Raw genomic sequence first — 24,878 nt, 5'->3', positions numbered from 1 at the left:
CAAAAAATAAATAAATAAATAAATAAATACATACATAAAACATTGCTGATCCTGGCCAGGCATGGTGGCTCATGCCCATAATCCCAGCACTTCAGGAGGCTGAGGCAGGTGGATCACCTGAGGTCAGTTGAAGACCAGCCTGGCCAACATGGTGAAATCCCATCTCTACTGAAAATGCAAAAATTAGCCAGGCATGGTGGCAGGTGCCTGTAATCCCAGCTACTTGGGAGGCTGAGGCAGGAGAATTGCTTGAATCCAGGACGCGGAGGATGCAGTGAGCTGAGATTGCACCACTGCACTCCAGCCTGGGTGACAGAGTGAGACTCTCTCAAAAAAAGAAAGAAAGAAAAGAAAAGGGGGTAAATGTGAAAGGAAAATCTTAGGGCCCCAAAATTACTAAGCTAATGAGAAAAGTCAAGTTGGGAACTGCTCAGGGCAAACCTGCCTCCCATTCTATTCAAAGTCATTCCTCTGCTCATGGAGATAGATGCGTATCTGATTGCCTCTTTTGGTAAGGCTTACCATAAACTCAAAAGAATGCAACCATTTGTCTCTTACCTATCTGTGACCTGGAAGCCCTCTCCCTGCTTTGAGCTATCCCCACGTTTCTGGACAGAACCAATGTACTTCTTATATATATTGGTTCTCATGTCTCCCTAAGATGTATAAAACCAAGCTGTGCCCTGACCACGTTGGGCACATGTCGTCAGGACTTCCTGAGGCTGTGTCACGGGTGCGCATCCTCAACCTTAGCAAAATAAATTTTCTAAATTAACTGAGACCATCTCAGATATGTGGGGTTCACACAGCCATGCCCAGCTGTTTTGTTTTTTTGTTTTTTGAGACGGAGTCTCACTCTGTCGCCCAGGCTGGAGTGCAATGGTGCGATCTCGGCTCACTGCAACCACCGCCTCCCGGATTCAAACAATTCTCCTGCCTCAGCCTCCCAAGTAGCTGGGACTACAGGTGACTGCCATCATGCCCGGCTAGTTTTGTTTTTGTTTTTGTTTTTTTGTATTTTTGTAGAGAAGGGGTTTCACCATGTTGGCCAGGCTGGTCTTGAACTCCTGACCTCAGGTGATCCACCCAACTCGGCCCCCCAAAGTGCCAATTACAGGCATGAGCCACTACACCCAGCCCTGTTTTGTTCTTTTAATTTTTGTAGAGAGAGGGTCTCACTATGCTCCCCAGGCTACTCTTGAACTCATGGCCTCAAGCTATTCTCCAACTGGACTTCACAAAGTGCTGGGATAACAAGCATCACCCTCCATGCCCAGCTACAAATTTATCTCTTACAATAATGGTGAAAGATATGTCTTCCGGATCCTTCCAGTGTGGGTGAATAGTTCTTAAATGACAATTCCTCTAAATTTTCAATCTTCCTAAGCCTTTGAGTATCTTCCTCTACATTAAACCAAGGCAGGTTTGGAATTTCTGATTTACTCATTATGACCCACCTTTGGTCCATGTCTCAGCCAAATAGCTAGACAAATTGTTAGAGCTCTTCCTAACTCTCTGAGCTGCAACATTAAATGTAGAACCTCTATTTAGTAAGCCCATATAAATTTGGCCAGATCTAGTTTTATGTTCCTTCCACCATTATCCCATGCCTTCAATATCCATTCCCATACGTGTTCCCAAAATTTCTGTCTGTATAAATTAGACATCTTAAGCCGTTCTTTTGGAGTGTTGCACACTTCCTCATGGGTCACACTTTGTCCCTCACCTTAGGGGCCTGCTGGGATTTCAGTCTAGTTACAGGTCTAGAAGCAAAGAGGGCAGGTGGGGAAGGGTCCTGAGGAGCATCTGCTTTGTCCTGCATGGCAACTTCCTCAGGGAGGCCATTACAGTTTCGTAGGCAATGCAGGGTTAGTCCTCTCAGGTGGGATGCCTCCACTGGGGATGGGGAGGCCTCTTTCACTAGCAAAGAAGATCAATCAGAATTTAGGGGCTCAATGTCCCCAGCTTCATCAGGTGATGAGGTTCATAAATCTAAAAAAGAGAGCTTTATTTCTCATAAAGGGTTGCAGCCTGCAGGGTGGCCATTCTGACGGGAGGGGAAGCACAGCCTCCAGCCACAAACCAGAAACAGATACTTCAAGGGAGGGCCAAAGGGAAGAGAAATTTATGCTGAGTGGGGTGGCCAAATGTACGTATTTAGTACATTATAGGAGTGATGAGTTTTATGAAAGGAGAAACATACTCATGTGCAATTGAGCTTCATGCTTCTCCACGGGCCCCATGTTCAAAAAATGGTGGCATTAAGATGATCTAAGGTAGAGTTTTTGGCCCTCTGGCATCAAAAGGTGAAGCAGAGAACATGAAAACCCTCACTGCATTCTCTGTAGACTGGTCAGAACCACTTCATATTCAAGAGTCTCTTATCAGGCATAAAAGGAGGAGCAATATCAGACAGTTGGTTGATATCACTGGTAGAGTCTTTTGAAAGGGCTAGTTTCTGTTTAGCCCTTAGGTTAGAAAGCCTAAACCGGTTAGGGAGGGAGGGGTGAGCATAAGGAGGCGTGCCTGACCTCATCCCATCATGACCAAGAACTCAGTTTTCAAGGTTACTCTGGGGTCTGCTTTGCCAGGAGAGGGTCCATTAGGTCAGTTAGTGGGGGCTTCGAATTTTACTTTTAGTTTACAAGGGTATAGCCTAGTACTCCTTGGCTAAAAACTTGCACAGCATGTTATTATAATGAATATTGTGAGCAATAATAATACAATTGTAATAACTATTTGTGTGTATCTAAACACATCTAAACATAGAAAAGGTACAGTACAAATATGGTATAAAAGATTAAAAAGGCTGGGCACGGTGGCTCATGCCTATAATCCCAGCACTTTGGGAGACCAAGGCAGGTGGATCACCTGAGGTCGGGAGTTCAAGACAAGCCTGAACAACATGGAGAAACCGTCTCTACTAAAAATACAAAATTAGCCAGGCGTGGTGGCACAGGCCTGTAATCCCAGCTACTTGGGAGGCTGAGGCAGGAGAATCACTTGAACCCGGGAGGTGGAGGTTGCAGTGAGCTGAGATCGTGCCATTGCACTCCAGCCTGGGCAACAAGAGCAAAACTCCATCTCAATAAAAATTTAAAAAAATTTAAAAATTTAAAAATGGTACAGCCGTATAGGCCATTTACCTGAATGGAGCTTGCAGGACTCGCAGTTGTTCTGGGTTAGTCAGTGAGTGTGAAGAGTGTGAGAGTGAATGTGAAGGCCTAGGACACTGCCATACACTACCATATGTAATTGCCCTGTGGGCTTCTTCCTGCCCGCTGCACAGACAAAATCAATTCACTGAGACCATGGCATTGCATTAGAGAAAGATCTTAATTGATGCAAGGCTGACCATGCCACATGGTACATGAAGCTATTACTCAAATCAATCTCCCTGAAAATTTGGAGGCTAGGATTTTTCAAAGACAGTTTGGTGGGCAGGGGCCTACGGTATAAGTGCTGCTGCTTTGTTGGGGATGCAATCATAGAGGTATGGCAAATGATCCTCATGCCCTGACTCCACCTCTGGGTGGGGTCCATAGGACTGGCTGAGTCACGAGTCCAGCTGGGGTTTGCAGAAATGCCAAAATCTGAAAAGACATCCTAAAAGGTCAATCTTAAGTTCTACAATATGATGTTATCTAGAGGCGTAATTGGGGAAGTTACAAATCTGGTGACCTCCTGAACAACGGTTGGTAATCACTTAATTATGCCTACATTTTAGCGGAATTCAGGGCCCTTTCATAAGCCTAACCTTGCAGCCTTTCATTAGTTTTATAAAGGTGGCTTAGTTTGGGAAAGGGCTATTATCCCTGCTTTAAGTTTAACTATAAACTAAATTTCTCTCAAAGTCAGTTTGGTTTATGCCCAGGAATGACCAAAGATAGCTTGGAGGTTAAAAGCATGAGGGAGGCTGGGCACAGTGGCTCACACCTGTTAATCCCAGCACTTGGGGAGGCTGAGGCGGGCAGATCACTTGAGGTCAGGAGTTCAAGACCAGCCTGACCAACATGGCTAAACCCCATCTCTACTAAAAATACAAAAATTAGCTGGGCATGGTGGTGCATGCCTGTAATCCCAGCTTCTTGGGAGGCTGAGGCACAAGAATTGCTTGAACCTGGGAGGCAGAGGTTGCAGTGAGCTAAGACCACGTGCTTGCACTCCAGCTTGGGTGACAGAGAAAGACTCTCAAAAAAAGCAAGATGAAGTCAACTATATCAGATTTCTCTTACTGTCATAATTTTGTAAAGGCAGTTTAATTGGACTGTATAAACACTATATGCTTAGGCTTCACTGAAGTTATAAATATATATATATAATTTTCTTTTTTTTTTTTCGAGACGGAGTCTTGCTCTGTCACACAGGCTAGAGTACAATGGCGCGATCTCAGCTCACTGCAACCTCTGCCTCCTGGGTTTAGGCAATTCTCCTGCCTCAGCCTTCCAAGTAGCTGGGATTACAGGCACCCACCACCATGCTCGGCTAATTTTTGTATTTTTAGTAGAGTCAGGGTTTCACCACGTTGGCCAGGCTGGTTTCGAACTCCTGACCTCAGGTGATCCGCCCGCCTCAGCCTCTCAAAATACTGGGATTACAGGGGTAAGCCACCATGCCCAGCTTTTTTTTTTTTTTTTTCTGAGACGGAGTTTTGTTCTTGTTGCCCAGGCTGGAGTGCAATGGCATGGTCTCGGCTCGCCGCAACCTCCATGTCAGGCCTCTGAGCCCAAGCCAAGCCATCGCATCCCCTGTGACTTGCACATATACAACCAGATGGCCTGAAGTAACTGAAGATCCACAAAAGAAGTAAAAATAGCCTTAACTGATGACATTCCACCATTGTGATTTGTTCCTGCCCTACCCTAACTGATCAATGTACTTTGTAATCTCCCCCACCCTTAAGAAGGTACTTTGTAATCCCCCCACCCTTAAGAAGGTTCTTTGTAATTCTCCCCACCCTTGAGAATGTACTTTGTGAGATCCACCCCTGCCCACAAAACATTGCTCTTAACTTCACCGCCTATCCCAAAACCTATAAGAACTAATGATAATCCACCACCCTTTGCTGACTCTCTTTTCGGACTCAGCCCGCCTGCACCCAGGGAAATAAACAGCCTTGTTGCTCACACAGAGCCTGTCTGGTGGTCTCTTCACACGGACGCACATGAAACTCCATCTCCCGGGTTCAAGTGATTCTCGTGCCTCAGCCTCCCAAGTAGCTGGGATTACAGGAGCCGGCCATCACGCCTGGCTAATTTTTTTGTATTTTTAGTAGAGACAGGGTTCCACCATGTTGGCCAGGCTGGTCTCTAACTCATGACCTCAGGTGATCCACCCGTCTCAGCCTCCCAAATTGCTGGGATTACAGGCCTATATATATAATTTTTGTTTTTTTTTGCAAGACAGAGTCTCGCTCTGTCTTTCAGGTTGGAGCGCAGTGTCATGATCACGACTCACTACAGCCTCAACCTCCCAGGCTCAAGTGATCCTCCCACCTTAGCTTCCTGAGTAGCTGGGACTACAGGCATGTTCCACCATGCTCATCTAAATTTTATTTTATTTTTTTTGTAGAGACAGGGTCTATGTTGCCCAGGCTGGTCTCCAACTCCTGGGCTCAAGCAATCTTCCCACCTCAACCTCCCTAAGTACTAGGATTACAGGCATGAACCACTGTGCCCGGCCAATATAAGGCATGCAAAACTATACTAATTTTCCTTTCTGGATATATGCTGTATGTAAAGTATTAAAATAGGCATGGGATTGATAAATACCAAAGTCAGCAAAGTGGTGACCTCTGAGAAAGGAAGGAGGGAAATGCCCTCAGGAAGGGATATACCGGCTTTTCAAATGTATAGGTGATGTTTGTTTCTTAACCTGGAGAAGTTATATTATCCTCTACTTTTCCGTGTGAATGAAATATTTTGTTTTTTAAAATCTTGCCCAAAATGGGAGTAGGGGTAGGGAATTTGACAGACCTAGGTTTAAATTCTGTCTGCCGCTTACTTGTAAAGGAACTTACCCAGTTTCTTAATTTCTCCAAGCCTCTGTGTCTGTAAGAGGACATCATCATAATAAATATTCTATTGCGCAGCCAAAGCAAGTGAAATAATACGGATGAAAGTGCTTTATAAAGTGCAAGTGCTACAGAAGTATAAGCTGTAATTTTACAAGAATGCGCCACAAATTATTGTAACTAAGAGTTATTGCAAGAAACTCTTAGCATTCCTTTGTTACATACTCTCACAGAACCTTGACCCTTTCCTTCAGAGCACTTACCTTCTCTTGCAATAACACGTTAATTGATGCTATTATTTGTGCATCCTCCCACTCCGTGGCTCTGGGCTCCTGATTCTATTCCCAAGCCCAGCACAGTCCCTGGCATATGGTAAGTGCTCGACAGATTTTTTTTTTTTTTTTTTTGGCGTAATCTTAACAGGATTACCTGTAGGAAGTGAGAATGAAAAGCAGGGAGGGGAAACAGGACTCTTCTGTTTTACATTTCTATACTGTTATAACTTTTATCATAAACATGTATTACTCAGTGCAAAATTATTTGAATTTTTAATTAAAATAATAAGTGTTAAATAGGCATATCTTAATTTCATCGCCTCTAGGGGGAAGGTCATGTTTTACTACAGGAAACTGCATGGAAAAGGGATCCATGAAATAAAAGGAGCAGACAATGTCTGTTCCTGGGGCACTGGGCTTTCCGCTGAACCTCCGGGAGTGAAGGCGACGAGTCTAACAACCTAAGAATTTAAGAACGGGCCGGGAGGCGCCGTTAGGGGGCGCGCGAAAGGCGGCGCGGGCGTTCCCGCCTCCCCGTTACATGCCCCAGTAACCCCAGCGCCGGCGACCGGGAGTAACCTCGCGCGCGGGCGGCCCCCCCGCGTCCAGACTCTCGCCTGCTCCCGCCTCAGCCAATGGGAAGGCAGCGAACCGGCCGGCCGGACGGTCGCCCCGGAGGGCTCCTCCTGGGAGCATTTCGAACGGAGTTGAACTGTCGCCGGGCCACGGGCTCAGACCTTTCCAATGGCAGCTCTGGGTCCCGACGCCAAGCCCCGCCCAGCCCTGAGCCTCCCCGTGTGCATTCTCGGCAGGAGTCACCTTTGCCTTACAAACCTTCAGACCCGCCCTCTTCCTACCTTGCCGCGCTAGGCCCCGCCCTCTGCGCAGGTCGGCCAATAACGGGGTGAGCTGGCGCCGCGGGGCGGGCCTCCAGCCAATGCGCACGCCGTGGGCGGGCCCCGAGCCGGAATTGGGGGTGAAGCGATAGCGTTTTGCCCGCATTCGGGGCGCGCGGAGCTGGGGGGTCCCTGTGGGGCTCCCGGAGTTAAGATGGCGTCCTCAGCGGAGGGGGACGAGGGGACTGTGGTGGCGCTGGCGGGGGTTCTGCAGTCGGGTTTCCAGGAGCTGAGCCTTAACAAGTTGGCGACGTCCCTGGGCGCGTCAGAACAGGCGCTGCGGCTGATCATCTCCATCTTCCTGGGTAAGGACCCTCCTGCCTCCCTCCGCCCCTCGCGGAGTCCCCGGGGAGTAGGGGAGGAATGGGGACAGGACCTCCCTCTCTTCCCGGAGCCACCCGGGAGGGCTGTGCCGGGTGCGGGTGTGAATCCTGAAGCACACCAACAGCTACTGAGGGAAGACAGAAGTCCTGTCTCGAGTCTGGGGCGCTGTGCCCTCTGAACCTCTTCATCTTTCTCTTCAACCCCTGCCATGCCCTCTGGCCTCTCAGTCGGGCCCCCGCCCTCTTGTGCCAGGCTCTACCCTTGCTCCCACGACCTGTCTTTATTTGTCGCTCTGTTGAGTTCCACTGTCTGGCCATGTGTCCTGCTCTGTCATTAATAACCACCCCGCACACGCGCGCATCTCATCGGTAGGCATAGGGCCCCTAACTTTAGCCCTTTCGGCCTTTTCAGCCCCATATTCCATATTTCATATTCTGAGCGCCTGTTTTGCTTATTGCCAGCTTATATTATACTTTCGTCTCTTTTCTGTCCCAGTCCTACTATTTTCTTTTTATACCATGTTGCTTTTTTTATTTTCCAAGCCACCTACCTGTCATTTACCCTGGAATATCATTTTAATGCTGGACTTGGGAAACAGGACTAACAACCTCCTTAAAATCGATCCATACTATTCCAAGCGTTTATTACACGTGTGGTTCAAAGGATGTGGTGTATCTGAATTTATGCCACAACAAGCTGTATTACAACTGGTTTATAGGCTTTTTTACCGCATCCTCACTCCATGGTTTAATACATGGAGGTAGCATAGTACAATGGAAAAAAGTATGGGTTTTGAAGGCAAACAAATCAGATCCAGCCTTGTTGCTGCTCACAAACTGAAGGACCCTACGCAGGCCGCAAAACCCTCTGGGCCTAATTTCCTTATCTATGAAATGAGGACAACAGTGCCTACCACATAGGATTGCCATAAAGTCCTGTAGAAGGGCCAAGATTGGGAAGTACCTGTACATATATATACATAAAATTTAAGCAGTTGGAACGTTTTATGAAGGTTATAGAACTTTAGGAGCGGGTGAGTGGGAAGGATTAAGCAAAAGCTGTAAGTGGTGATAAGGAAACAGGACTGGGGCTAGAGCAGAGGGTTAGAGGTCTGAACCATGAGAAGTTTGAGATAAAGTTGGGCAGGTGTGGAAAGCCTTAAATGCCAGAGAGAAGTTTGGCGTTTATCCAGTATTCAGTAGAAACACTGATATATAATATCACCAGAGGGTGTTAACCCAATCTAGATAATGGGATAGGCATTAATTCATATTTAAACAACCTTGCCTAATAGCATTGTTACTTTCCTATTACATATCAAACCAAGATCTTCCTTTCTTCCAAATAAAGATCACCTTTTTCTTCCTCTGTGGAATCGTAAGATTTTAAAGATGGAATGGAACTGGGGTTGTGCAGTTTGCTCAGTGTCACCCAGACATCATCCAAATTTATCAGCACCCTAGTCTAGGCTTATTTGCACTACACCAGCTTTGAACTTCCTACTCTTTCATCCTTGTTTCTGACCCAGTTATTTTTGACATTGTAATTAGCAATTAGTGTTTACATTTGACAGGACGCAGCGGCTTATGCTTATAATCGTAACACTTTGGGAGGCCAAGGTGGGAGGAACGCTTGAGGCCAGCCTGGGCAACATTTTATTTGTCTCTACAAAAAATTAGGCCAGGCGCAGGGGCACATGCCTGTAATCCTGGCATTTTGGGAGGCCAAGGTGGGCAGATCGCTTGAGGTCAGGAGTTTGAGACCAGCCTGGCCAACATGGTGAAACCCCATCTCTCCTAAAAGTATAAAAATTAGCTGGGCATGGTGGTGGGCACCTGTAATCCCAGCTACTTGGGAGGCTGAGGCAGGAGAATCACTTGAACCCTGGAGGTGAAGGTTGTAGTGAGCCAAGTTAGCTCTACTGCACTCCAGCCTGGGTGACAGAGCAAGACTCTGTCTCCAAAAAAAAAAAAAAAATTAATAAAAAAATGAGCTGGGCGTGGTGGCTCATGCCATGCCTGTGGTCCCAGCTACTCCCGAGATTGAGGTGGGAGGATCACTTGGGCCTGGAAGTTTGAGGCTACAGTGAGCCGTGGCACCACTGCACTCCAGCCTGAAGGATAGAGCAAGACCCTGTCTCAAAAAAAAAAAAAAATTGTATTACATTCATTAGTTAGGAAACTGTTGGTTTCTCAACAATAAATTCAGAATGTAACACAAGTAGCAACCAGTTATAAGGGGCAATCTGTTAAATGGAGTTAGGGCTGGAATTAGGACTTGGAATTCAACTTTTGTTTGTTGACATAAAGAATTCAACTTTTGTTTGTTGACATAATCACATATTGCCTGTGCACTCCTGCTGGGCTATTGCTGTGTACTGTCACGGGGCATACAGATGACTAGGAAATTGTTTTCTCCATATCCCACTCCTCTTCTCTCATCTTCTCTCATTACCACCAATCATCAAAGTAATAAACACTTGGTGTAATGCATCTACCACACTCCCGAGCCCCCTTGCTCATTCTACCATTTCCCACACCCTGCCTTCCTATCTCACATACCCTGTTGCCTTCAGTAATTCATAGTATTTCTCATTTTTAGATCAACTTGGGGCTTCAACTTGCCTCCTATCAGGTATAGCTCATCATGTGGACGGGTAGGATTGTATTCCTAGTAGGCACAGTTTAAATACATACATATAAATATAAATTGATTAAGCTTGATGTGTGCGTGGTAGGAGTGCATTTTGGTTGTAAATATGTTTCCCTTACAAAGGTTATTACCATTTCTGTGTATTGTAACCTAGAAACCAGTAGCCTTTCAGCAGTGGAGTTCCTGGTTCTTGAACCCAGCTCTCTCAGGGAACTGGGATACTGGAGGAAATCCTTGCTGGAGGTACCAAGAAAGCCTGTAGTCCAAAATGATTTCTGGTTCACTTTCCACTGATTAGATTAATTCAGGTTAAAAACACCTCCCTAAATGCAAATACCCCAAGGGAAGAGTTAGGTATATCATTCACATTTTCAAGTGTACGTTTTAATCAGATAGTCTAATTACTATTTTCTTAACATCTTACTTTTTTTACTTCAGTTCTGTGTGCTGATCTTGGGGTGGAATGCAGAGCATTAAAGCACTGGCTTTTAAACCTTTTTGACTAAGATCCATCGTAAGAAATATGTTTTACATTGTGACCCAGAACACACAGACTTGTATGTGTATACACGTATTTGAAACAAGTTTCAGGAAAGAATACTTGCCCTTAATAATAACTCACTAAGTTGATTTCATGACTTGTTAATGAGTTACAACAGTTTGAAAAATCTTGAGTTAGAGGCTGCAATTTTTTTTTTTTTTTTTTTTTTGAGACGGAGTCTCGCTCTGTCACCCACACTGGAGTGCAGTGGCTCGATGTCGGCTCATTGCAACCTCCGCCTCCCAGGTTCAAGCAGTTCTCCTCCTCAGCCTCCTGAGTAGCTAGGACTATGGTGCACGCCATCATACCCGGCTAATTTTTGTGTTTTTAGTAGAGACGGGGTTTCACCATGTTGGCTAGGATGGTCTCAATCTACTGACGTCGTGATCCACCTGCCTCGGCCTCCCAAAGTGCTGGAATTACAGGCGTGAAATTACAGGCATGAGCCACCGCGCCCAGCCGAGGCTGCAATTTTTAATATTCAATACTTCAAAGAAAAAGTAAGCTTATGTGGACTGCTGCACTGGAGTATTTTGAGCAGTCAGAAGACTGTAAAAGGAGTGTGTTTATGTTTGTGTGGTGTATGCTTGCAAGGAGTTTGATGGAAGGATGCTGAAGAGGAATTTTGCCATGAGCCCTGGTGCTGGCAAATACTACCAGAAAACATCTCCCCTTCAACAGCTTGGATCTCATCACTCCTTAATGTAACTAATACCATGAATTGCTCATATAAATTCAGTAACATGCACCTACTACAGGTAAAGCAGTATTCTTAACCCTGCAAGGGCAGGAGCAGTGGGTGTAGTATGAGTCAGGAGCCCTGCACTCAAAGGTATTATGGTCTGTTAGGGTATAGGAAATGGGCCTGAGATAAGTATACTAATAACCCCAATAAATTTTAAGCACCATAAGAGAGGTACAGAGCTTTGTGAGATTTAAAGATGGGACATTTCATTTAAAGATGAGTAAGGTTTCAGCATGCTGAGATGGTAAGACTTAAGGAATAGCATGAGCAGAGGCACTGAGGTGTGAATGTGGCAACACAGCCAAGGAACAGTCAGTAGTCTAGTGTGACTAAAACAGGACTTTAAAGAAGTGATGGAAAATCAGGCTGGAACTGTAGGTTAAAGAGCCTTTAAAGCCAAGGTAAAGAGTTAGTACTCACGTAGGTGATAGGGAACATTGGAGATTTTTGAGTGGGGAATAATATGGCTGGAGCTGTATTTAAAAAGATAATACAGCCTGGGGTGATTTGAAGTCAGCATAGACAAGTAGTAGGGAAACTAAGGAGAAAGAAGTGATCTAGAGAGGAAGTTATAATGACTTGGAGGCAGGGTGGCTGTGCTGAGAGGAGAAAGTGGGCATCTCCTGTGAGATGGTCTAGGAATACCGGAACCTTTTGAAAGGTAGATTCTGTAGACACAGTCATCTACACAGCTGCTCATGCCTGAAACCCAAGAATCAGCTTTGTTGCCTTTCTTCACTCACTCCCCACATCCCAGTCACCCAATCCTATCAATACAACCTCTGGATTGTGTCTCAGATCCATCTACTATTCTCCATCACCACAGCCACTAACCATCTGTCACCAGCACCACCCAAGTAGCCTCCTGACTAGTCTCTAATTCTGTTCTTGCCCCCTCAGTCCACTCTCCAAAAGCAGCCAGAGTGATCCGATCCTGTGCCTCTCCTGCTCAGAACCCTTCAGGGGCTTCCATACCTGGCTGGTAAGCCCCTGCCTGCTGCCCCAGCCTCGTCCCAAGCAAGCTGACAACCTTTTAGCCACATGGCCTTTGTTCAGTTCCTCAGGAAAGGCATGAAGGCTTCCCTACCTCAGAGCCTTTGCACACGCTTACCTGCTGCCTGGAGTGCCCTTCAGTCACCTGACAAACTCCTTTTCATCTTCCTCTGAGTTCTTTCCTGACTCTCATGTTCAATTATGTCCCCTGTTACACTTTCTCATACTGACCGGAATTTCCTTCCAAGTATATATTACACTTTGTAATTATATATTTGTAGATGAGGACAGAAACCATGGAAGTTTTGTTTACCACAGTGTACCCAGAGTTTAACACATTACTTGGCTTGTAGAAAAGGCTCGATAAATACTTGAATAGGTGAATGTATGAATGAATGACTTGGCAACTTATTAGCTGGAGGATAAAGTCGTAATTTTAAAAAGACTCCATCCTCCTGCCTGAGTAGCTGGAAAGATAAGGGTATCTTTGACCAATGCCAGAGATCAAGTGGAGGATCAGATACTCTTAAGTGCCAGGAAATGATCTGGTTTGGGGTTCACTTTAGGTTCCAAGGGCACTTCCAGGTATCTTGGGAGTTGTGAAGCCTGGTCTTGAGCTCAGGAAAGAAGCTGGGCTAAAGACAGAGTTTTAGGAGACAGTATTGGTATCATAACTGACTCAGGGAGGGAATGAAATGCCATGGAAAAGGTTATACAGAGAAGAGGATCTTATTCACGTTGATTGGGTATGTTAATGTTGCTACCCCTTGATAATAGTAATAGCTGGCATTTATTAAGGATTTTCTGTGTACCAGACATTGTCCTAAATGGTCAACAGGCAGTTCCCCACCTAAACCTGCCAGTTACCCGTGAGGTAATTATAGTGCTGTTAAGATCTCCTGGTACAGATAGGAAAGTCAGCCCTACAAAGATTGAGTAAGTCACACTGAGTTCTGCCTGACTCCAGAGTTCCTGCTCTTTACCGCTGAGATTGGGAGGAGCATGTGGGGCTGGAAAAGATAAATGCCCTTGGTGTCCTTTTCTCTTTTCACTCTCAGTGGTTAAACCAAGATGCAATCAGTATATGAGCCACCTCTCAGTGTCCAAAGCTAGAGCTGGCCAAATGGAGCAGATGGCCACCCTGCTTACTGTGAGTGTTCCCTAGTCTTGGCCATGATGGTGGCTTGGCTGTTAGACTGATCAAAAATTGCAGCTGGGGGTAACAATTCATCCCTCAGAGGTTCAGAATTAGCATCACTAAAGTTAGCGACCTTTAAAATCAAAGGAGGTCCTGCAGTTTAGTTCCCTTTGGACCAAAGTCAGGTCTGGCCCTTCAGAAAAAAATCCATTATTCAGTGCAGAAAGCTTTCTTCAGGTAGCACTGGAATCACAATATAAAGAGACCAAAGGTAAGCTAGATGAAAATTAAGCAGCATTAATGAAACAAAGAGACTTCTGACCATAATACAAAGCAGGGTCCAAAAATTCTACTGCTATAAAATAGGGAGACTGTCCTAAATGACTTTCAAGGACCCTTCCAATTTTAAAAGTCTAGGTATATTACTTCTACATGTTTAGACTTTATTCTAGTTCATAGCCACAAATTTCATCATAATCTAAACCTTCCCGTTTGGGAATTTCTTTTTCTTTCTTTCTTTTTTTTTTTTTTTTTTTTTGAGACATGGTGTTACTCTGTCATTCAGGCTGGAGTGCAGTGGTGCAATCTCAGCTCACTGCAACGTCTGCTTCCCAGATCAAGCAATTCTCTAGCCTCAGCCTCCTGAGTAGCTGGAACTACAGGCGTGAGCCACCATGCCTGGCTAATTTTTTCTGTATTTTTTGTAGAAACAGGGTTTTACCGTGTTGCCCAGGGTGGTCTCAAACTCCTGAGCTCAAGCAATCCACCAGCCTCAGCCTCCCAAAGTGCTGAGATTACAGGCATAAGCCATTGCCCCTGGCCAAGAATTTCTTTTAAATACAATTTTCCAGGTCAGGCACGGTGGCTTACGCCTGTAACCCCAGCACTTTGGGAGGCCAAAGCAAGAGGATCACTTGAGTCCGGGAGTTCAAGACCAGCCTGGGCAACATAGTGATACCTCATCTCTACAAAAAGTGAACAAAATTAACTGGGCTGGGTGGCATATGTCTGTAGTCCCTGCTGCTTGGGAGGCTGAGGTGGAAGGATCACTGGAGCCCGGGGTCCTCCGCTCAACTCAGGACGTTGAGGCTGCATTGAGCCAAGATCATACCTCTACACTCCAGCATGGGCAAAAGAGCAAGATTCTGTCTCAAAAATAAATAAATAAATTTTGTTTTTAATTAGCCAGGCATGATGGCATGCACCTGTAGTCCCAGCTATTCAGGAGACCAAGGTGGGAGGATCATTTGAGCCCAGGAATTTGAGACTGCAGTGAACTATGATGATGCCACTGCATTCCAACCTAGATGACAGAAGGAGACCTCATCTCTAAAAATAAATATATATATTTTTTCCAACCACTTTTTATCTATACCCCAATGTCTTACATTCCATAAAACATCATGTTTTGAATTCCAGTATAACTTTATCGTTAAACATGTTTCTTTGCAGAAGCATGTATAAGTTAGGGTCCACAAGATTATTTGCATAAGCTAATTTACAAAAAAAATTATATAATCACTGACATGAAAGCATGTCTGGGCAGCCATGGGAGCTCATATGAGGCGTCCAGTTCAGTCGCCTTTTAAAAATGATATTTGCATTAGCTGGGCATGGTAGCATGTGTCTGTAGTCCCAGCTACTCAGGGGACTGAAGTGAGAGGATGCACCAGAGCCCCAGAAGTCAAGGCTGCAGTGAGCCATGATCACATCACTGCACCAGCCTGGGCAACAGGAGTGAGGCCTTGTCTCAGTCAGTCAATCAATCAATCAATAATGGTATTTGGTCTTCTGAAAGAAAGTGACATTTTAGCTGGGCCTTAAAGGGGATGGTAAGATTCTAGTAAAGTAGAGATGAAAGCGGAGGAGCTTTCCAGCTACAAAGAGTAATCTGGAGATCAGGAAGAGTAAGACCCTGTCTGTCCCTGAATCTAAGGAAAAAGAAAAAAAAATTTTGAGAAAAATCTGAGGAACAGCAAGTAGTCCTCTTTAACCAGAACAATAGAAGATCGTAAAAGAGCAGTAGAGAAAAACATGATAGGCCTTTTATGTAGGTGGAGGTCAATGACAGAGTAAGGTAGTAACATGTGCATTGTCTTTAGAGATCTTCTGGCCTAGGTTCAAATGCTGGATCAAATAAATATGTACTAGCTGTTTCACCATAAGCTCATTACCAGAGTTCAACCACCCATTTCTTTATATTCCCACAGGCCAATTTTACTAAAGAATTGCAATGAAGAGTTAAGCAATTTATCTGATAAATATTTTTAGATTTATATTTCATTCATAACTAGCAGCAGTATTTTGAAACAGAATACAAAATTTATATGAATTTTTAAAGTAATACAGTCATCAAAGAAATTTTCTATTTCTAGAAGACTGCTTAGGCATACTCTTTTGTGATGTGTTCATTCTCCTTTGGCCTGGAAAAGTTTGAGAACTGTTGCTCATTGGGATGTTGTAAGGACTAAATAAGATAAACTATGTAAACACTTAACCATGCTTGACCCAAGATCATCTTAAATAATTGTTCTTCCCTTCCCTGTCAATAAATATTTATTTTCTCCCTTTCCAAGGAGACACAAAGTATGGTCTTGTGACCAACAGCATCTGTATCTTATGGGAGCCTGTTAGAAATGCAGATTCTTTGGTCTACTCCAAAACTACTGATTGAGAAACTCTGAGGATAGTGCCCAGTAATCTGTTCTAGCAAGCCAGGTTATACTTATTACTCTAGAGTTTGAGGATTACTAATTTAGCATATTTCTTCCGGTGCCTATTTTGTAGTACTTGATGTCCTGATAGTACCTTTTTGGAATGTCATTGGCCAGGCGCGGTGGCTCACGCCTGTAATCCCAGCACTTTGGGAGGCCGAGGCAGGCAGATCACCTGAGGTCAGGAGTTGGAGACTAGCCTGGCCAACATGGTGAAACCCATTTCTATTAAAAAGATAAAAATTAGCTGGGCATGGTGGCACATGCCTGTAGTCCCAGCTACTTGGGAAGCTGAGACAGGATAATCGCTGGAACCCAGGAGGCAGAGGTTGTAGTGAGCCGAGATTGCACCATGGCACTCCAGCCTGGGTGACAGAAAAAAAAAGAAAGGTCATTGTATCCTGTACTCTTTGGAATAAACAAAACTCTTAGATTCCTTATGGTTTAGTTTTTCCCATTTGTAGGCCTGACAGATAGGAAAGTTGGGCCTACAAAAATTGAGTAACTTGCTTAAAGTCACATTCAGTTCTGCCTGACTCCAGAGTTCCTGCTCTGGATGTTATCTGAGGAATAAAGAGATGTTGTTGTTATTATGTTCACATTGTTATTATGTTCACATTGTTATTATGTTCATTATCATGATCATCACATACACCATCTGTTTCACACTTTTGATAAGAAGGTTAGATACAGAGGAGTTGTGTTTTTTGTTTTTTTTTTGAGATGGAGTCTCACTTTGTTGCCCAGGCTGGAGTGCAGAGGTACAATCTCAGCTCACTGCAACCTCCACCTCCGAGGTTCCAGCAATTCTCCTGCCTCAGCCTCCGGAGTAGCTGGGATTACAGGCGTGAGCCACCACACCCAGAGGAGGAATTTTTTTAATAAGGTTATTGGACTAATGGCTCCATCTTTTTTGTGTTGCATCAACCACCTTAAGCAATATAGCATTCTCCTGATTGATCTCCTTACGTTTCTTAATATAAGTAATAAATTGTGACTTGTAGCTTTAACAAAAATTAGGTTCCCTAGTTGCAGCTGCCAGGGAAAGCTAGTCTAATATCAAAGCAAACCATCCTTCTTCTCAAGCACAGAGTTTTTAAGATAGGAGTGTGTGTGTATTGACATTTTCCTAGCAGTGGCTGAAGTCAAGGACCAGGAGATTTAGGGCCCACTTGGAGTTCTTATGGTGAAACAGTAGTAGCTTCCTAGAGACCTTTAAAGCTTATCTGTAATTTGTATAGTTCAGAAGATACTGTATACATCATTATTTCTCCCTGCTTTCAAAACAGGAAGGGGGTGTGGAGAGTAACACACTAAAAAAAGGATAAGTAATTAATTTCTGGGTAAGAATTTCCTTTTGGCTTAAAATGGACTGATGGTGTAAGTTCCTCCCTTTGCAAGCAGAAGCTTTGAAGATAGTGAGCTAGATGAAGCTCTGGACATCTTGAATGAAGTATTCTGTATAAGAACCAAGTGTATAATAACTGTTAGTAATAGAGGCTGCTCATAGAAATGTCATTGCATTATAATTGTAGGGACAGTTTGTCAGAGAGTAGGTAGAAGATTATCAGACCCAGGTTTTGTTCTTGGCTCACATGAAGTCATCAAGTAGGCTATTTAAATGCTTCACTTTAACCATAGGCTAAGATTAAATTAAAAATAAAAAGCTTTTGTCATGGCCGGGCACAGTGGCTCATGCCTGTAATCCCAGCACTTTGGGAGGCTGAGGTGGGTGGATCACCTGAGGTCAGGAATTTGAGACTGGTCTGACCAACATGGTGAAACCCTGTCTCTACTAAAAATACAAAAATTAGCCGGGCACGGTGGTGCACGCCTGTAATCCCAGCTACTCGGGAGGCTGAGGCAGGAGAATCGCTTGAACCTGGGAGGGGGAGGTTGCAGTGAGCCGAGATCGTACCATTGCACTCCAGCCTGGGGGACAGAGTGAGACTCCGTCTCAAAAAAAAAAAAAAAAAAAGCTTTTGTCAATTAAAGATGCTTGTCAGTACTGAGTATTCATGTTGCTATGGCACTTTTATAAGAAAACTGTACACGGTCATATCTGCTTCCGAAAATAATACATAGTGAGATAGTAATTTTACAGGCAATTAAGAATTTGCTGGCCAGGCGCGGTGGCTTACACCTGTAATCCCAGCACTTTGGAAAGCCAAGGTGGGTGGATCACCTGAGGTCAGGAGTTTGAGACCAGCCTGGCCAACATGGCGAAACCCTGTCTCTACTAAAAAAAAAAATCCAAAAAATTAGCCGGGCATGGTGGCAGGCGCTTGTAATCCCAGCAACTTGGGAGGCTGAGGCAGGAGAATCACTTGAACCCGGGAGGCAGAGGTTGCAGTGAGCCGAGATCGCGCCATTGCACTCCACCTGGGCAACAAGAGCAAAAACTCCGTCTCAAAAAAAAAAGAATTTGCTATAATAGAAGATCCATGTGTACATTCTGTATGCAAATCTTAGGAAGATATTAGATCCCAGAAGGTTAAAGTTCCGATCTCTATATATTTGTATATGCTTTAAGGAGAAGTGGCATCCATGTAGATGTGGTAAATGGCTTATAACTCTCGAGGTTTCCAATTTCTGCTGTGGTAGCAATTCTAAACTCAGATGGACTTGGACACTACTCTGGATTACTGTCCCTAAATATCAACTACTGTTTATAAGCCAGCAGAGGCCAACTGAAATAGTACACATAAAGTTCCTACAGCATATCCCTCAGTCAGAAGTGGAAAAGATTGATTAAAGTTGGAGTATAAACATATGGGGCCCTGACCAAAAATATTGAACCGTACTACTAGAAATCCCCATTCTTTAGCTAAAGGATAATCTGACTTCACTTTTAATTCTTCATTGACTATTGGTGCTCTGAAAGAATAGGAAATAATAGCAAAACATGGGAACTCCTAGATAGCATACATTTATTTTTAAAATGTATACCATCGGCCAGGCACCATGGCTCACGCCTGTAATCCCAGCACTTTGGGAGGCCAAGGTGGGCGGATCATTTGAGGTCAGGAGTTGGAGACCACCCTGGGCAACATGGTGAAACCCCATCTCTACTAAAAATACAAAAACTAACTGGGTGTGGTAGCACACACCTGTAATCCCAGCTACTCAGGAGGCTGAGGCAGTAGAACTGCTTGAACCTGGAAGACAGAGGTTGCAGGGAGCCAAGATCACGCCACTGTACTATAGCCTGGGAGAAAACAAACAAAAAACATATGGTCAACTTCCCAAGTAAACTGACCAATGTCAGTTTAGGTTCAGTCTTACTGTAGGAGTGCCTGCCGTAGGCCAGCGCCTCTCAACCTTTCCACTAAGTACATTAAGATCCTAACAGTAATCATTGGGACCCCAGGTCATCGTCTCAACAGAAGCTCCAGATTTCTTCAAGTCTTGGCCCTCTTGTTTTATATCAAAATTTTATGTATATTATTTTTATATTTTCAAAAATTCTCCCCAGATCATCAAGTAATATTGAGATGCTGACATAGAAAAAAGTAGATTTCCAGCTGGTATGATCAGTGATAAATTGGACTTCATCAAAATTAAAAGCTTTTGTGCACCAAAGGATACTATCAAGAAAGTAAAAAGCTATCCCACAGAATAGGAGAAAATATTTGTAAATCATAAGTCTAGTATTCAGATGTCTAAAGAACTCTTAGAATTCAACAATAAAAAGATAACCCAGTTTACAAAATGGATATGAATAGACAGTTCTCTAAAAGAGACATATACATGGCCAATAAGCTCGTGAAAAGCTGTTTAATATCTTTAGTCATTAGGGAAATGCAAATCAAAACCACAATGATATATCATTTCACACCTACTAGGATGGCAATAATCAAAAACACACAAACAGATGTTGGTGAAGATACGGAGAAATTGGAACCCTCAAGCATTGCTGGTGGGAATGTAAAATGGTGCAGCCACTTGTGGAAAATAGTTTGTCAGTTCCTCAAAAAGTTCACAGTTACCATATGACCCAGCAATTCCATTCCTAGGGTTACACCCAAGGGAACTGAAAGCATAGATTCACACAAAAACTTGTACACAAATGTTCATAGCTTTATTATAATAGCCAAAAGTGGAAACAACCCAGTTGTCCACCAATTGGGACAAATTGAATGAATACACAAAATGTTATATCCACACAATGGAATGTTATTCAGCCATAAGAAAACAATGAAATCCTGATCACATGCTGCGACACAGATGAACCTTGAAAAATTGTGACATGAAACAAGCCAGACACAAATGGCCACATATTGTATGATTCCATTTATATGAAATACCCAGAATAAGCTAATTCGTAAAGACAGAAAATAGATTGGTGGTTGCTAGGGGATAAGAGGAAGGGTGAATTGGGAATGGCCACTATGCGGTACAGGGTTTCTAATGTTCTGGCATTAGATAGCAGAGATGAAAATGTTCTGGCATTAGATAGTGGAGATGGTTGCATAACACTGAATATACTAAAATCCACTGAATTGTACACTTAAAAAAATGAAGAAAGAAGGACTATGCATGATCAAAGAAAAAAATGCTTTGTGCTCAAGTAGGGATAGAATAAACAGTAAGACTGGAAAGACTGTGAAGGGCCTTGAATGGCAAGCTAAGGAAGTTAGCTTTCATCTTATAGATCGTAGGAAGCCACCAGAGTATTTTGAGCAGGGGTGGCATGTTTAAGGTAGTGTTATAGGAAGTTTAATTTGTGAAATGAGAAAGAGATACTATCAGCCAGGAGAGGTAGAAGGTTCTATAAAGTCAAATTGAACACCCGAAGTTTCAGATTTCATGAATGACCCTGGGTATGTGTGTATACACATATGTATGGGATTTGTAGTCATCTGGGGAAGGCTGAGGTGCTAATATGAATACTGAAAACTAGAGAGGGTAATATAGCAGAGTAGTTAAAAATGAAAACACTCTGAACCCACATGCTGTCTGGGTTCAAATTCCAGCTGGGCTACCTTCCAGCACTGTGACCTTAGGTAAGTCACTAACCCTGTCTGTGCTTCAGCTTCCTCTTCCGTAAGATAAGGATACCTACTCATCAAGGTTGTTTTGAGGATTAAGTGGGTTAATACATACAAAGTGTTTACAATGTCAAGCTTAAAGAAAGGTCCCCAAAAATGTCAGCTGCTAGTCTGAAACTCCAGAGCAGGTTTGAGAGTAACCCGCTGTTGTTCTCTGCCCCGGATAAACTATGAAGTAACAGTCCTAAAGTGTTAAAAGACAAAACAAATTTTTCTTTGTGAAAAATGACCCTTTAAAAAAACTCCATCTACTAATAATGAAGCTTAGTAGTAGTAAAATGATGATTTTTAGCCATAAAACGGGTTTTCTATATCTTCACAAATATAGTGTAGAGTTTCACAATATTCTTTGATATGAACCAGTCTCTCATACTTTCTGTATAGCACTGATTCGCTAAGTAAGATGCCAAGGCATGACCTCCCTTCAGGAATTGGGAATCTGCATTTTTAATAAGCATCCTAGGTAATTCTTTTTTTTTTTTTTTTTTTTTTGAGACGGAGTCTCGCTCTGTCGCCCAGGCCGGACTGCGGACTGCAGTGGTGCAATCTCGGCTCACTGCAAGCTCCGCTTCCCGGGTTCACGCCATTCTCCTGCCTCAGCCTCCCAAGTAGCTGGGACTACAGGCGCCCGCCACCGCGCCCGGCTAATTTTTTGTATTTTTAATAGAGACGGGGTTTCACCTTGTTAGCCAGGATGGTCTCGATCTCCTGACCTCATGATCCACCCGCCTCGGCCTCCCAAAGTGCTGGGATTACAGGCGTGAGCCACCGCGCCCGGCCGCATCCTAGGTAATTCTTATGCATGATACAGGTTGAGACCAGTGCCATGTACAGAAGTGGGAAAAATGGCTTATGAAACTCAGTTGTATTTAGCACACTGTGTTAGACATAAAATTTGAAAACCCAACCTGGACAACACAGTGAGACCCAGTCTCTACTAAAATAAAATAAATAAGTGAACATTGAAAACCAATGGATAGTAGAATGTATTCAGTTCAGTGAGACATGAAACAATATTTTTGCTTAATTGAATCAAACATATGTTAAAAAAAAAAAAAAAACTCACCCTACTCCCAAAGCACTCAATAAATTCTTCAGAGAAAAGGAAGAGCTTTTTGTACTACATTGCCTCTAAAATCTTCTGTAGGATAAGACATTTTAAGATCACTTAAAATCTTGTTTTAAGTTTTTAAGTCTCATTTTAATAACCAAATAAAATGGTTTTTATTTGAGCCAGTTTCAAGTTCTTAAAGTGACACATAGGACTTAACAAAATCCATTAGTTGTCATTTGTGCTTTGCCCATTTTTACTGATTTCTTCATACTCTGAAGGAAAAAAAATGCTACAAATGTATGTTGGTATATAAGAGAGTGCATTCCATAAATATTAGAAATTTTTTTTTTCTTTTTTTGAGATGGAGTTTCACTCTTTCGCCCAGGCTGGAGTGCAGTGGTGCCATCTCAGCTCACTGCAACCTCTGCCTTCCAGTTTCAAGTGATTCTCCTGCCTCAGCCTCCTGAGCAGCTGGGATTACAGGCGCCCGCCACCACGCCCAGCTAACTTTTGTATTTTTAGTAGAGATGGGGTTTCACCATGTTGGCCAGGCTGGTCTTGAACTCCTGACCTTGTGATCCACCCACCTCAGCCTCCCAAAGTGCTGGGATTACAGGCGTTAGCCACTGCGCCCGGCCAGAAAAATATTTTATAGAATTCAAACTTGTATTTTCTTTTGAAGGGATATAAAAAGGGTGAGAGAACCCAACAACCACACTTATTCAAATTTATAAGGATAATTAGGAGTATTCTCATGGTTATCTTTAGAATCTTAGCAGGGTAAAAAAGAGTTTATTGTTTCATTTGCTGAAACTCCTGAGAAGAAGTCTCACCACATTTGTATTTACAGAGATTAGATTTGGCAACTCTAAAGACAAGAGAAATTACTCATGATAAGTGTTTGGAGGGGTTGGAGAGAAAACAGCTAATTAGGCACTTGGCAGTGTGGCAGGGCAACCTTTGGGCAACCCAGTCCAGATTAGGTTAGAAGAGGAGCACGGACCTTTTGTCCACTGCAAACCAGTGCCACAAATGAAGTGGGAAGAGACAGGTTACCACATACTGGTTGGACTTGAGAGAGAACCAGAAAGTGTACAATCCCATAAGCATAAAAAATGGGGATAAAACTTCAAGTGTATATAAGGGTAAGAACAGGAGGAAGCAGTAACAGAGAGGGCAGGAGAGAAAGATCAGAAGGAATCGGACGCCTGAGAAGAGGAACTGGGGGCTGAGTCCTGTCCTGGCCTGGCCGCTCCCCATTCCTCCCTCTGCCTCTGAGGGCTTCAGTTTTCCCAAGTGAGAAACAGCTGTGCTAGATTGCTTCTACAGTCCTTTCCACTCCTGGACCGAAACAGTTGCCCCTGCATCTAAAATACGTAGCTCTAGCATATAAAATGCAGGTTACCTCAACTCCCCCCCGACTCCCACATCTCACTCCCTTCCTTTCCCTGCCTGCCCTAATTCTGGCTGCGTTCTGTTCTTGCCTCATATGGACTCTTTTTCTCCTCCCCTTCTTTTCCAATGTCATGCAGTCTCTTAACACTGGGTTTCAACCACTATACAGAAAAATGTTAGTGAAAAAGGAAGAGGGGTTCCATGCTGCTTGATTCTCCCTAACCAGGCACACTAAACTAGGGGTGACAGTGTATCACAAAGTCCAGACTCACAGTCTTGCTGCCCCTTCTCCTCTTCAAAGTTTGTTTCCGAAGTACCACCCCTTGCACCTCACATCCCAGCCAACTCTGCCTACCTGTCAGCCCCAGCCCTCCTCAGGCCTGCCTCAGCCTCACAGCCAGGATCCTACCAACACCAACACCGCGCCAAATAACCCCTCCCAAAAGCCTCACCGGAACTAATCTGGGGACTCTGCCTATTATTAGGAACACCTTGGATGAAGCCCCTACCCGCAGAATTCTGGCAGTAGCAGCAGAATTTTCAGGCATGTGCCTAATTTTGTTGGGGTGGTGGTTGATTATTTTTTTTAAATCTAGGATTTCTGGGATCTGAAGCTTATACAATCTTGGATATCTTCTTTAAGAAAAAGAATACAAAAATATCTTCTATAAGTTTTACAAAAATATATGACCATGTGAGCACGTTGCTAGCTCCCGCCCCCACCCCACCCCCCAGAGCCTTGGAAGGGGAGTGAAACTGAAGCTTTTTTAGCTTCATGGCAAATATGCTTCTTCCTGAGAGTACTGGGTACATTCACAGACCTTTATTTTTTACTTTCTATAGATTTAATTTAGTTAAGTCAGTTCGAAGCGGGCAAAGGCCAAAATTTCTCACCCCTAGGTGGCTCAAATTTCTGAGCCTGAGATTTTATATCTTAAAATCCATTAAAAGAATACTCAATTTTCGGCCGGGCGCAGTGGCTCACACCTATAATCCCAGCACTTTGGGAGGCTGAGGCGGGCAGATCACGAGGTCAGGAGATCGAGACTATCCTGGCTAACACGGTGAAACCCCGTCTCCACTAAAA

The 24,878-nt window shown here is 43.8% G+C and overlaps 1 protein-coding gene across 1 annotated transcript in view, besides 1 other annotated feature; it reads left to right on the top strand.

Annotated features, from left to right (window-relative positions):
• Positions 6,677-6,936: a silencer, noted in NCBI's record as "silent region_4197". NCBI's record gives its function as "represses an Ori minimal core promoter by ATAC-STARR-seq in GM12878 lymphoblastoid cells {active_cell/tissue: GM12878}" and the evidence as "EXISTENCE:reporter gene assay evidence [ECO:0000049][PMID:35858748]".
• The window catches only part of LPCAT3 (lysophosphatidylcholine acyltransferase 3), a 42,292-nt gene continuing 24,700 nt past the window's right edge, over positions 7,287-24,878 (top strand). The window contains exon 1 of the mRNA NM_005768.6: positions 7,287-7,489. Within this exon, the coding sequence (NP_005759.4) occupies positions 7,339-7,489 (151 nt within the window). The 5' untranslated portion in view covers positions 7,287-7,338. The remainder of the gene's footprint in view (positions 7,490-24,878) is intronic.

Source organism: Homo sapiens, chromosome 12 (genome assembly GCF_000001405.40).
Source record: "Homo sapiens chromosome 12, GRCh38.p14 Primary Assembly".
Lineage (NCBI taxonomy): Eukaryota > Metazoa > Chordata > Mammalia > Primates > Hominidae > Homo > Homo sapiens.
Note: the sequence above shows the minus strand (reverse complement) of the source record. Positions and strands in the feature narration are given on the sequence as shown.